Below are 12408 nucleotides of genomic sequence, written 5' to 3'. Positions count from 1 at the left end.
CACTGCCCTAACAGGTTCTCCATGAGGGCCCTGCCCCTGCAGCAAACTTACCTGGGCATCTAGGCGTTTCCGTACATCTTCTGAAATCTAGGCGGTGGTTCCCCAACGTCAACTTGTCATTTACATTAGGTATTTTATTGACTTATTATATAGAGACAGGATCTCACTGCGTTGCCGAGGTTGGTCTCAAACTCCTGGGCTCAAATGATCCTCCTGTCTTGGCCTCCCTAAGTGCTGGGATTATAGGCGTGAATCAGCATACCTGGCCTCTTTTCAGATTTATAAAATACATTGAGCCACCATGCCTGCCCTCTTTTCAGATTTATAAAACAAATTCTAAAGCTGCTATAACCAAAACAGTAACATAGGTCTAATCAATTCATTATGTGAGGAATTAGAGGTGATATTTCTTCATGGTCCGGGATGTGGTCTCTAAAGTCAGATTTTCTGAGTTTATGTCTGATTACTTCATTTACCTGTGGTGTGACCTTTTACTCATTTACCTTATTGGTAAATTTAAGAATAGATTTTTGTTTATTGAGATATACTGAAAAATGCACAAACCATAATTGTACATCCATTCTTAGTGAATTTTCACAATGAACACATTGATAAAAATAGTTTCAGGTGTGGTAGCTTATGCCTGTAATCCCAGCACTTTGGGAGGCCAAGGCAGGCGGATCATGAGGTCAGGAGTTTGAGACCAGCCTGACTAATATGGTGAAACCCTGTCTCTACTTAAAAAAAAAATGCAAAAATTAGCCGGGCATGCTGGCATGTGCCTGTAGTCCCAGCTGCTCGGGAGGCTGAGGTAGGAGAATTGCTTGAACCCAGGAGGCAGAGGTTGCAGTGAGCCAAGATCGCACCACTGCACTCCAGCCTGTGTGACAGAGTGAGACTTCATCTCAAAAAAAAAAAAAAACACACACACACACACACACACACACAAAACCCCACAAAAACAAATAGTTTCAACCCAGAAGCCCTACTTAGGACTTTCTCCCCATCAGTTTTCATCCTCCCTGTTCATTAATGCTAACCAGTATCTTGACTTCTAAACCAACATTACTTGGTCTCTTTTTGAATGTAAATAAATGGAATAATGTAGTTTCTGTTCTTTTGTGTCTAGCCTCTTTTACGCAACATGATGTTCCTGAGAATGATTCATGCTGTTGCATGTATCCGTGGTTTGTATTCTTTGCTGCATTGTATTCTATTGTACGAATATGCCACAGTTTTTTTTTAAATCTGTTCTGCTACTAGTAGGTATTGAGATTGTTTCCAGTGTTCAACTATTGTGACTAAACCTGCTGTGAATGTCCTAGTACATTCTTTTGACTACTGTAGTGTAGAGAAATCAGAATACTTTGACAGTGTTAAATCTGTCTTCTCTTCTACTTCTGCAATCTCTTCTGTACCGAAATGTCCATAGTTCTTTCAGATTTCATCTTGAAATGGACTCAGTGCACACTGTCTTTTTTCTTCCATATATTAGCTATCATTTACATGGTAATTCTATTAATTTCACTTGTCTTGGTTGTTAAAGCTTGATTTAGACTTCTCTGTTTTCAGCCGTGTCTTCTTCCAGTGTAGCCTTCAATCAGTGATACGTTTCTTTTTAACTTATTTCCTGAGCTAAATCTCTGTGTTGAGTTCTTTTTTATAAAGCAAAATTAGACCAAGTTCTTAGGAAAAGAATTTGGTTATAATTTCCATTTGCTCTTGGAGAAAGTTTTTCTGCATTTAGTTTTTTTTACTTTTAATTCTTTTTTTCTACACTAAATTAGGGTAATTTAGTGTAGATTTCATGTTAAAATTTTTGCTTGTGTTTGAATGAATAGAATTATTCCTCTATAAGACAGTGTAGGAAAGGGTATAAGATAGCACTTCCTGGTGAGCAGGAAGCTGCCCTGGATCACAGGGGATCCCCAGTTAGAAGCAGAATCTATATGTGTAAGAGAGGGATGGAGATGACTTATTTTGTCCTTCTCCTTGGACAAAATTTAGCAGTTCTAGGGCTTTTTCTCACGTTTTTTCCTTTGGCTTTTTGCAAGTATGTAACATAAATAGGTATTATTTCTTCTGCTACTCTCTAATTTCAGATAGGGCCCCAAGAGGTTCTTGCTGTCCACCCAAGCTTCCCACAAGGAGGATTCAGTTCTCCCAAGTTTTGCTAAATGTCTGCAATAGTGGTGTGAACCTAAATTATCGTGAGACAGGTCACAATCAATTTAGAAAATTTATTTTGTCAAGGTTAAGGACACACCCAAGACATAGCTTCAGGGGGTCCTGGTAACATGTGCCCAAGGTGGTCAGGGTACAGTTTGCTTTTATACATTTTAGGGAGACATGAGACATGATTATGTGTAAGAAGTACATTGGTTTGGTTCAGAAGGGCAGGATAACTCGAAGCGGGGTCTTTCGAGTCCTTGATCAGCCTTTCACTCAATACATAATTTAGTCTGGCTCAGTGCATCTGCATTTTTACATAAACAATAAACAGTAAGACAGAGGAAGCAGATAGGCCTTTGTTTCAGGTCAGCAGAGGTGTGACTTTCTGTCCCGCACATATGAAGATATGCTGTCAGTTTACATTGTGAAGGTGAAATTCAGCAGAACTGTTTTAGGTTAAAGATCTTGAAGCCTACAAGAAATTTCCCTGTGGCAAAATTGTGAGGGAGGTATGTAGCTTTCTTATCTTTGTAGCTATCTTATTTAGGAATAAAATTGGAGGCAGGTTTGCCTGACATAGTTCCCAGCTTGATTTTTCCATTGGCTTAGTGATTTTGGGTTCCCGAGATTTGTTATTCTTTCACAGTGGGTGCCCTTTTTATTTGACCCAAGTTGATCAGTTTTCATATTCTTCACAGGTTTGCTGCATATATTGTATGTGTGGGGTGGTAGTTGTTTCCTGGTTTCATCAAGATGGTGTCTTGTTTCCCTTTTGTATTTGGTTGGTTTCATGAAGGAGAAGCAGGCAAAGACATCTTTACTTCATTATCTTACAACTGAAACTATTAGCCCTTTCTTATACACATATGGAATTAAGAACAGGTGAAGATAAGTCATTTCTTCAAGGCCAGATAGCCAGGGAGAAGAAGAACCTCTTTTCTCCAAGGCCAGTGCTCTTTACATTCATATCATTGTACTTCCAGAAAGTAAACTTTCATATTTTACCTGTAAAGATATTTCTTTTCACCTAAATTTGTTCATTAACAATATTATCTTCTAAAACAGAATGGTCATAATTTTGGCATCCTTATCAGCCAAATATATCAGCAAATATATCAGCAAAATATATAGAGAAAATACTTCCTCTTTCGTTGCATCCCCCACTCCATCTTAATGATGGTGGAACATTTGTTTTGCATTTTCCTAGACTTTGATATACACACAAAATGCATTTCTCTCTCATACCTCTGTTGTTTCACATTTCTAACTGACCTTAGCCTCCCCAAATAAATGAAAGCATACTATACTTTTTTTGTTGTTGTTTTTGAGTTGGAGTTTTCGCTCTTGCCACCCAGGCTGGAATTCAGTTGTGCGATCTTGGCTCACTGTAACCTCTGCCTCCTGGGTTCAAGTGATTCTCCTCCCTCAGCTTCCCCAGTAGCTGGGATTACAGGTACGTGCCACCACACCCAGCTAATTTTTGTATTTTTGGTAGAGATGGGTTTCACCATCTTGGCCAGGCTGACCTCAAACTCCTGACCGCAGGTGATCGCCCGCCTCAGCCTCCCAAAGTACTAGGATTACAGGTGAGAGCCACTGCACCCGGCCCATACTATATATATTATTCCTTTTTCATTGTTGCAAGGTACTCCCATTTTTGAAATATCATAAATTTATTTTCCTAGTAAACAGTGCTACAGTTGAACTTATTTTACATTTATAAATTTTAACAATTCATAAAATTGAAACATTTGAATATTTTATATCCTCCATCTTTTGTGTGTTTAAGAATCTTCCTCCTACATTTTCTACATGCGCTGCAAGAACTTCTTGCTTTAATGTACCCAACAGCTCTTTTACTCGTCATTTCAAGGGTGTCACCTCTCTTTCATCTGTTTAAAAAAATCTGAAAACATTTTATTTGTTATTTCATAATTCCAGAGTTTTTTTCCCCACTCTATTTTAGTGGCAGCATGATTGATTAATTGACATTAATTGACATGGCACATAATCATTTTACTGACATTCCTACCCCATAAAGACCATCTTACTTATTTACTTTGGTAACTAGATAACTTACAGTAGCTTTTTTACAGTTTGCCTGGACAACTTAAAAATAATCATTTTACATCCATTCTTTCAGGTGCCTTCCCGTTCCACCTTATGACATTTTCTGTATTATCAGTCTTCTTAAAGCTTCTATTTGATTACATTCTTCATGTTAAAGAGTTCTTGAGGAGGTCTTTTCTGAGTAAAGTCCAATTCCTCCTTCCTTACCTTAGTATCTTCTGGGTCTTTGATCATCTGGCCCTCTTTCTCTCGCTTTTTCCTCCAGACCATTTGTTCTTAACCAATAGTGCTTCATATTTCCTGTCTTTGCCACTTCGTGTTCCACTCTTTTGAAGTACTTCTTTCCCTATCTTTGTTCATATTCTTTTCATACCTTTATACTTAAGTTAAATGCCTTCAGTTAACTTTGACTTCTCATTTCCTGTCTCTTTTGTGACTTTTATATCTGTCTCATACCAGTTAACAAAGGTAGAATGATCTGTCTTATTTCCTTGCCAACTAAAATATTTTATAACAGTGGACTTCTTTATATATCTCCATATATAAAGCAATCTACATTGCTGCCTTGTAATTTATCCTTAATAAATATTTTTGTACTTCATTGTTTGGAACTGAATGTCAGATGTCTATTTTCTGAAGGTATTTTCACTGCTTAAATATTTTCTAGAATCTCATTTAGGGTTACTAAATCTGTTATAGTTATACTAATCTAGAAGTAGATGACGTATTTTAGCTTTGCCTTCACCAAAAATTGTTTTTAACATGAATGTCTTGAGATAATACCAGAGGACAGTGACATTTGAGATGGCAGATGTTGATCATTAGTCAAATAATTGAAAGCCCTACTCCTTTGTTTTTCAGAGGTAGCGTCTTATGGATTCTTCTTTTGACTGTCTCTTAGGATACCTGCTCGGAAACACCTCACTTATGTTTAGGCTGTCTTTTACAGAAGAGAACAGAGATAAACTAAAACAGTCCTTTGAAATACTTTGTTAAATGTGCTCTACAACGCATCCACACGTACATGTTTGTAAACATATGCAAACTTCTGCAAACAAACCATTGCCTTCTTTTACTTTCTTTTGTATTCTTTTTCAATATAGGAAATGTATGAAGTTGCCAAGAAACTTTGTTCTTTTTGTGAAGGTCTTGTACATGATGAACATCTTCAACACCAAGGCTGGGCTGCAATCATGGCCAACCTGGAGGACTGTTCAAATTCATACCAAAAGCTACTTTTCAAGTTTGAAAGTATTTATTCAAATTATCTGCAGTCCATAGAAGACATCAAGTTAAAACTTACTCAGTATGTTTGCCATTAAAATGGATAATATTTGTTTAAAATGCCTTTGAAATTTATCAGTAGGTTTAATTACTGCAAATTTGTTTCTTATAGGCCATATATTTATTGTAACTGAGGTTTATTCTTTGAGCCTTTTCTGATAGTGATTTGTAGGTTATAGTTTTTAATTTAAAAAATGATAATTCTCTTTACATGTATGAGTCTCCCACATTTCTTTCTCTTGGGTTGTTTTACTTGTAATAAGGCTCCAAATACTTTTGAAATCATTTATAAAACCAAGAATCTTTGCTTATGTCTTGTCCACTAAACAAAAGGCAAGATGTGAAAAATAACATCTAACAGAAATAGGCACATTATCAAACACTGGACAATGGAGGAAAATTTTAAGTTCTTTGTAAATATTGCCATCCTGATACAGGTTTGATGAGGTGGAAAAAAAGCCCTTGTGTTGTCTGTTTTCTTTTCTTTTTTTTTTTTTTTTTTCTGAGACGGAGGCTCGCTCTGTTGCCCAGGCTGGAGTACAGTGGTGTGATCTCAGCTCACTGCAACCTCCACCTCCCAGGTTTACTCCATTCTTCTGCCTCAGCCTCCCAAGTAGCTGGGACTACAGGTGCCCGCCACCACGCTCAGCTAATTTTTTTTTTTTTTTTTTTTTTTGGATTTTTAGTAGAGATGGGGTTTCACCGTGTTAGGCAGGATGGTCTCGATCTCCTGACCTCATGATCCACCCGCCTTGGCCTTCCAAAGTGCCGGGATTACAGGCGTGAGCCACTGCACCTGGCCAGCCCATGTGTTTTCAATGCTCATTAAGATGGCAAGTTTTAGTTCTTTGCATAGAAGTACATTTAATACACATTGATTCTTTTTTTAAAAGGGCTGTAGTTAACCTGAAAATATAATGGTAATTCAGCATGAAACTAACCCTTATTGTGTGTGTGTGCATATGCTTTTAGCATTTTGTGTTCAGGTTTTTTGTTTTGGATCTGTAGATTTTTTTTTCTTTTAATTATCTTGACCTTGCATTAGAGGCAAGTAGCATGTTCTGGTTTTAATCTTTGTCTTTTTGTTTCTTTGATTTTTTTAAATTTGGGTAACCTTTTAAATTCAGATTTCTCTGTTTTGTGGTATGAATATTAGTTTTTGGCCTTAAAAATGGAAAAATCTTGAGAGGAAAGAGAAGGATTCATTAAGACTAGAAAGATCTTTTTAAAGTTTAAATGAGAACCTTTTCCAGTAACTTTCTAAGGGTTCTGTTAGCTGTATCAGTTTAAAGTAGGGACCTACATCATATTGCACATCATTTTATAGAAGTTAAATCACCAGGATTTCATATTTTCCCTATGCTTTTGACAACATAAACCTGTTTTCAGGGTGTTATGAGTACAAGAGTTATCTTCATTAGGATTGTTATTTTTATCCTGTGCTTTGAATATATCAAATATATTTGATTTACTTAAGGCCATAAGGTTATATTCTAAGATACTGCTATGGTGAATCTTTTTGTAAATTTAAATTTGTTACATCTTTAAGGTTTTGTAAAAGCCTAGTGTTCACTTGTTTAGTATAGCTACTTTACTTTAGAGTGTTTTTTTTTTTTTTTTGAGACGGAGCCTTGCTCTGTCACCCAGGCGGCTGGAGTGCAGTGGCACCATCTCAGCTCACTGCAGCCTCCGCCTCCCAGGTTCAAGCGATTCTTGTGCCTCAGCCTCCTGAGTAGCTGGGATTGCAGGTGCCTGCCACCACACTCGGCTAATTTTTGTACGTTTAGTAGAACTGGGTTTTGCCGTGTTGGCCAGGCTGGTCTCAAACTCCTGACCTCAAATGATTTGCTGCCCTCCACCTCCCAAAGTGCTGGCATTACAGGTGTGAGCCACCACGCCCAGCCCTAGAGTGATATTTTAATGGGTTAACGATAGCCTCTCTCTGCTAAACTAGACTTTTAGTGAATAGCTAGCTCATAGACTAGTTTATGTATGTATAATGTTATGGAGAGGTGGTGAGATTTGTGTGTATAATAATATGTGATTTCATTCAAACATGCTAATTCCTAATTAGAGCAGTCTCATAGTTTTACTGACAGATCTTTTGTATTTTAAGTTTAGGAACTGCAGTTTCAGTAATGGCCAAGATTCCACTGTTGGAGTGCCTAACCAGACATAGTTACAGAGAATGTTTGGGAAGACTGGATTCTTTACCTGAACATGAAGACTCAGAAAAAGCTGAGATGAAAAGATCCACTGAACTGGTGCTCTCTCCTGATATGCCTAGAACAACTAACGAATCTTTGTTAACCTCATTTCCCAAGTCAGTGGAACATGTGTCCCCAGATACCGCAGATGCTGAAAGTGGCAAAGAAATTAGGGAATCTTGTCAAAGTACTGTTCATCAGCAAGATGAAACTACGATTGACACTAAAGATGGTGATCTGCCCTTTTTTAATGTCTCTTTGTTAGACTGGATAAATGTTCAAGATAGACCTAATGATGTGGAATCTTTGGTCAGGAAGTGCTTTGATTCTATGAGCAGGGTAAGTAACGTTAATTTGATGTTTGTTTTGTCATTTTACTACTTTATATTATTTATCCTAAATATTTTATGTACTGAGAGAATGGGTATTACCTTTTAGTAGAAATAAATGAGTCTTGGAGTGAAACTTTTAACATAGGTTGAATCAATTTAATTCATAATTTTATTTATGAATTGATTGTAAATTTGTGAAGGTTATTTGAGATTAATAGGAAAAATTTCTAGTGCAATAAGAATAATTTACATACAGTAAACTACACAGGTCTTGAGTGGTTCATGCAAGAAATAACCACCACACAAATTAAGATAATGAAAATTTCATTGCCCAGAAAGTCCCCGTGTGACTCTTTCCAGTCACTATTTCCTTAGAGGCAACTTCTTTCTGACTTTTAAAGAAGAAATTTCAAATGCTGCATCTGCCTGAGATCTTTAAAATTCGAAACGTAGACACTGTATTTTTTAGTTGTGTTTTATAGTTATAGTGAGCTTGTATTTTGGATTAAGGTCTTCTCCAGCACACCTGAAAACCTTTTAAACCTGAGGAATAAATACCCCTTCATATCTGATCTGCAAACTGATGCAAAATCTTTGACACCAGGAAGGAAGTTGATGGGGCATGTTTCATTGTTACAGAAATGTTAAATAATGTTGTGAAGGCTGCTGTTGTCAAAAGATAATTGTTAAAAATAGTTAAACTTTTCAAGGAGCATGCAGTCGAAGAAGAGTTCATCTTTGATTCACTATTTAGAGCAGGATAGCACATTGTCTGGGATGCCTAAAAAAGAATACATACATTGCTGTTAAAGTTATAGGATATAGTAAAATGGAAAACAAAAAATCTAGGTTTTGTCATTCTTTCAGTATCCAGTTTCTTGATGACATTCTGTAGGCTAAGCATTTCTTTCAATTAAGACATGTTTGCCAGAGAAGTATGTAATATGTTATGCAAAGATTGATCACTGCCAAAAATGAATTAAAGTTAGTGTTCCTGCTTAAACTATTGACAATGTAGTGGCCTGAAAATTCCATTTATGATTGTAGATAATTGCTTACATGATTGTGATCAGAATAATTAAGGTATTTTGTTTTGTTTTGTTTTTTGAGTTAGGGTCTCACTCTGTCGCCCAGGCCGGAGTACAGTGGCATGATTATAGCTCATTGGTTCTCCACCTCCCAGGCTCAGGCAACCCTCCCACCTCAGCCTCCCGAGTAGCTGGGACCACAGGCACACACCACCATGTCCAGCTAATTTTTTCATTGTTTGCACAGACGGGGTCTTCTTCCTATGTTGCTTAGCCTGGTCTCAGATTGCCGGGCTCAAGCAGTTCTCTTGCCTCAGCCTTCCAAAGTGCTGGGATTACAGGCATGAGCCACTGCACCTGGCCTATCATTTTTTCTGTAATTAAGCTGTGCCAGATGTCAAAACAGAGTTATATATATGAAGCGAACCTGAAATCGGCTTTGTATTTCCATGTTCAGTGTGAAATTTCACGGAGTCTTAGGTTTTTTTCAATTTGTATGACTAAAGGAAAGGAACAGTGATTCTCTGACTTAATGAAAAGTCAGCCAGGCACAGTGGCCTGTACCAGTAATCCCAGTGACTTGGGAGGCTGAGGCGAGAGGATCACGTGAGGTAAGAAGTTCAAGACCAGCTTGGGCAACATAGTGAGACTCTATCTCTAAATAATGAATGAAAGAATAAATGTCAGAAATATTTATACCTTCAGAAAATAGAAGGTAGCTATAGTGTTATTACTAAGCAATCACTTTTTTCTTTTTAGAAGTTAATGCTACATTGAATAGGGCATAGCAACAACATCTGAAGTCTTTGTGATATTTTACATGACCATTATATTAAAAAAGCAAAATACAAACTTGTATTTGGTTATTGTTGTTTGTTATCAAATTAGCTAACGTGACTTTAAAATAGTGCCTATAATATAGTACTCATTAGTTGTATATGCCCATTAGATTTTTTTTTTACTTACTCTATCAGGAGGAGTAGCTATTGGATGCTGGGCTTAATACCTAGGTGCTAGGATGATCTGTGCAGCAAACCACCATGGCATACATTTACACATTTATGTAACAAACCAGCACATGCTGCACGTGTATGCCAGAATTTAAAATAAATGTTTGAAGTTAAAAAATATATATTATTCTGAAGCAGTTAAAATCCAATTTGGAAAAATTTATTTATATTTTACAAAGTATATGATCTGTAAATGTGATGTATTGCGTAATGAATGGCACTTTACCATGATGTTTTTATTAGATCAGTATTTTTCTCCTCTCAGGAGTACTATACTTTTTCTTGATAAGACTAGGGGCATTTCTGAAGATGAACCGAGTATGAGATTTCTCTCTGATTGGAGATGGTTTTTTACTCTCATTTTATTAAACGGTTGTCCAAAACAACTAACCTACCTGATATCTGATCGCAGTAGCACTGTTTTCCAATGAAGTAATAAAAATATATGCCAAGATTTTTTTTCCGTAAAAGGAAATTCAGTTTAAATCTATCGTTTTTGCAGATTAATTCCAATTGTAACAGTATTTTGTAACATGTACTTTCAACTGGCAAATTAAAATGTCTTTCTCAGGAAATTAGTCGAGACATAGGTATTTTGGAAATTAGGATTTGGAATTGGAATAGCAGGGGCTCAAATCTGGGCATTGAGATTCATTTACTATCTGTCATCCATAAGTCACTTAACATGGGATTCCTAGTTTTATATTTTTGTGGATTAAGAGATGCTAGTTTTGTAAATTATTGTTTTTCCCCCCATTTTATCTGTCAGAAAAAATTTAGAATTGTTGCTGCATTTTCGTAGACTCATATTTTTAGATTTTAGTGTATTCTTGCTAAAAAGACTCTTTTTTTTTTTTTGAGTTGGAGTCTCGCTCTGTCACCCAGGCTGGCGTGCACTGGCACGATCTCGGCTCACTGCAGCCTTCACCTCCTGGGTAGCTGGGACTACAGGCACCCGCCACCACACCTGGCAAATTTTTGTTTTTTTTAATAGAGATAGAGTTTGGCCATGTTGGCCAGGCTGGCTTTGAACTCCTCACCTCAGTTGATTTGCCTGGCTCTGCCTCCCAAAGTGCTGGGATTACAGGTGTGAGCCACTGCACCCGGCCTTAAGATGACTCTTGAGTGTTCTGTTTCAGTTTATACTACAAAAGGCACACTGATTTGTGTTTCTAACGATTAATAATTGGAAGTGTCTGCATTTAGCACATTTCTAAACTGTCCAGGTTAATGCAGCATAATTTATTGAGCTTTAGCATTTCTTTCAGACAACTTGTGATCTTAAGGAATCTATGCAGGGGAGTGGGTTTAAAGGTCAGAGGCTTAAGAATAGAGAGTGTAAGAAACTTTGTTTTATAGTTTCTTTCTCAGTTAAAAATAATGTTAGCCTTTGTAGATGCCAAAGAGCCCAAGAGTAAAAATTAATGTATCACTGACTGTTAATTATTGAAAATTGGCTAAATAATTACTAATGAGATTCTGTGGTTTACATATATGTAATTTAAAACATTTCTTCAAAGATTTTTATTATCTGTGAACAAATGGAATAAAATATTAAGTGCAGTGAGATTTTAGGAAGTCAGCTGGGCACGGTGACTCATGCCTATAATCCTAGCACTTTGGGAGGCCAAGGTGGGAGTCCATTGCCTGAGCCCAGGAGTTTGAGACCAGCCTAGGTAACAGGGCGATACCCATGTCTACAAAAAATTAGCTGATTGTGGTGGCACATGCCTGTAGTCCCAGCAGTTAGGGATGCTGAGGCCGTAGGATCGCTTGAGCCTGTAGTGAGCTGTGATCATGCCAGTGCACTCTATCTTGGGCAACAGAGCCAGAACGTGGCTCAAAAATAAATTTTTTTTAGGAAGTTGTGTAAACTATTTAGTGAATCATAAAATACTCTCCTATGTTTGTCAGTGCAGTTATACTTTCAATGAATTATTAAATTCAGATACGTTGTATTCAGGAGCCCTTGTTTTTGGTTTAAGTTGTTGGTATGTTAAGTTTATGTATAATTGTAATTTTGCCTAGGTTGAACATTTGAACCAGTTTTCATCTTTATCATGCTAATAATTTGTAACCAGGCTTTGATGTGCATAGTACTCTGGTGTAGAAATACATACACATTGGACTCAGTTACCACAAAATTGAGAAAAGTGAGAAAATGTTCACAAATGTACAAGTAGCAGTTGAGACAACATTGTGCAAAACTAGTGGTGCCTATTCTGAAATAATGGTTTTGTTAATTTTTTCGGTAGTGTTAGACATGCACCCTCTTAACTACACTGGATTCTTGATAATAACAATA

At 36.9% G+C, this 12408-nt stretch overlaps 1 protein-coding gene across 18 annotated transcripts in view; it reads left to right on the top strand.

Moving 5' to 3' along the window:
* Positions 1-12408, top strand: part of RB1CC1 (RB1 inducible coiled-coil 1) — a 91978-nt gene that overhangs the window by 32519 nt on the left and 47051 nt on the right. For all 18 annotated transcript variants that reach the window (XR_928826.4, XM_017014109.2, XM_011517645.3 and 15 more), the window contains 2 exons: positions 5346-5548; positions 7643-8072. Coding sequence is in view for 17 of the 18 variants with exons in the window: in XM_017014109.2 (XP_016869598.1) it covers positions 5346-5548; positions 7643-8072 (633 nt within the window). In the remaining variant the exon portion in view is untranslated. The remainder of the gene's footprint in view (positions 1-5345; positions 5549-7642; positions 8073-12408) is intronic.

The sequence above is a fragment of the Homo sapiens genome, chromosome 8 (genome assembly GCF_000001405.40).
Source record: "Homo sapiens chromosome 8, GRCh38.p14 Primary Assembly".
Classification (NCBI taxonomy): Eukaryota; Metazoa; Chordata; class Mammalia; order Primates; family Hominidae; genus Homo; species Homo sapiens.
The sequence above is the reverse complement of the archived record's forward strand: the minus strand, read 5'-3'. Positions and strand labels throughout refer to the sequence as shown.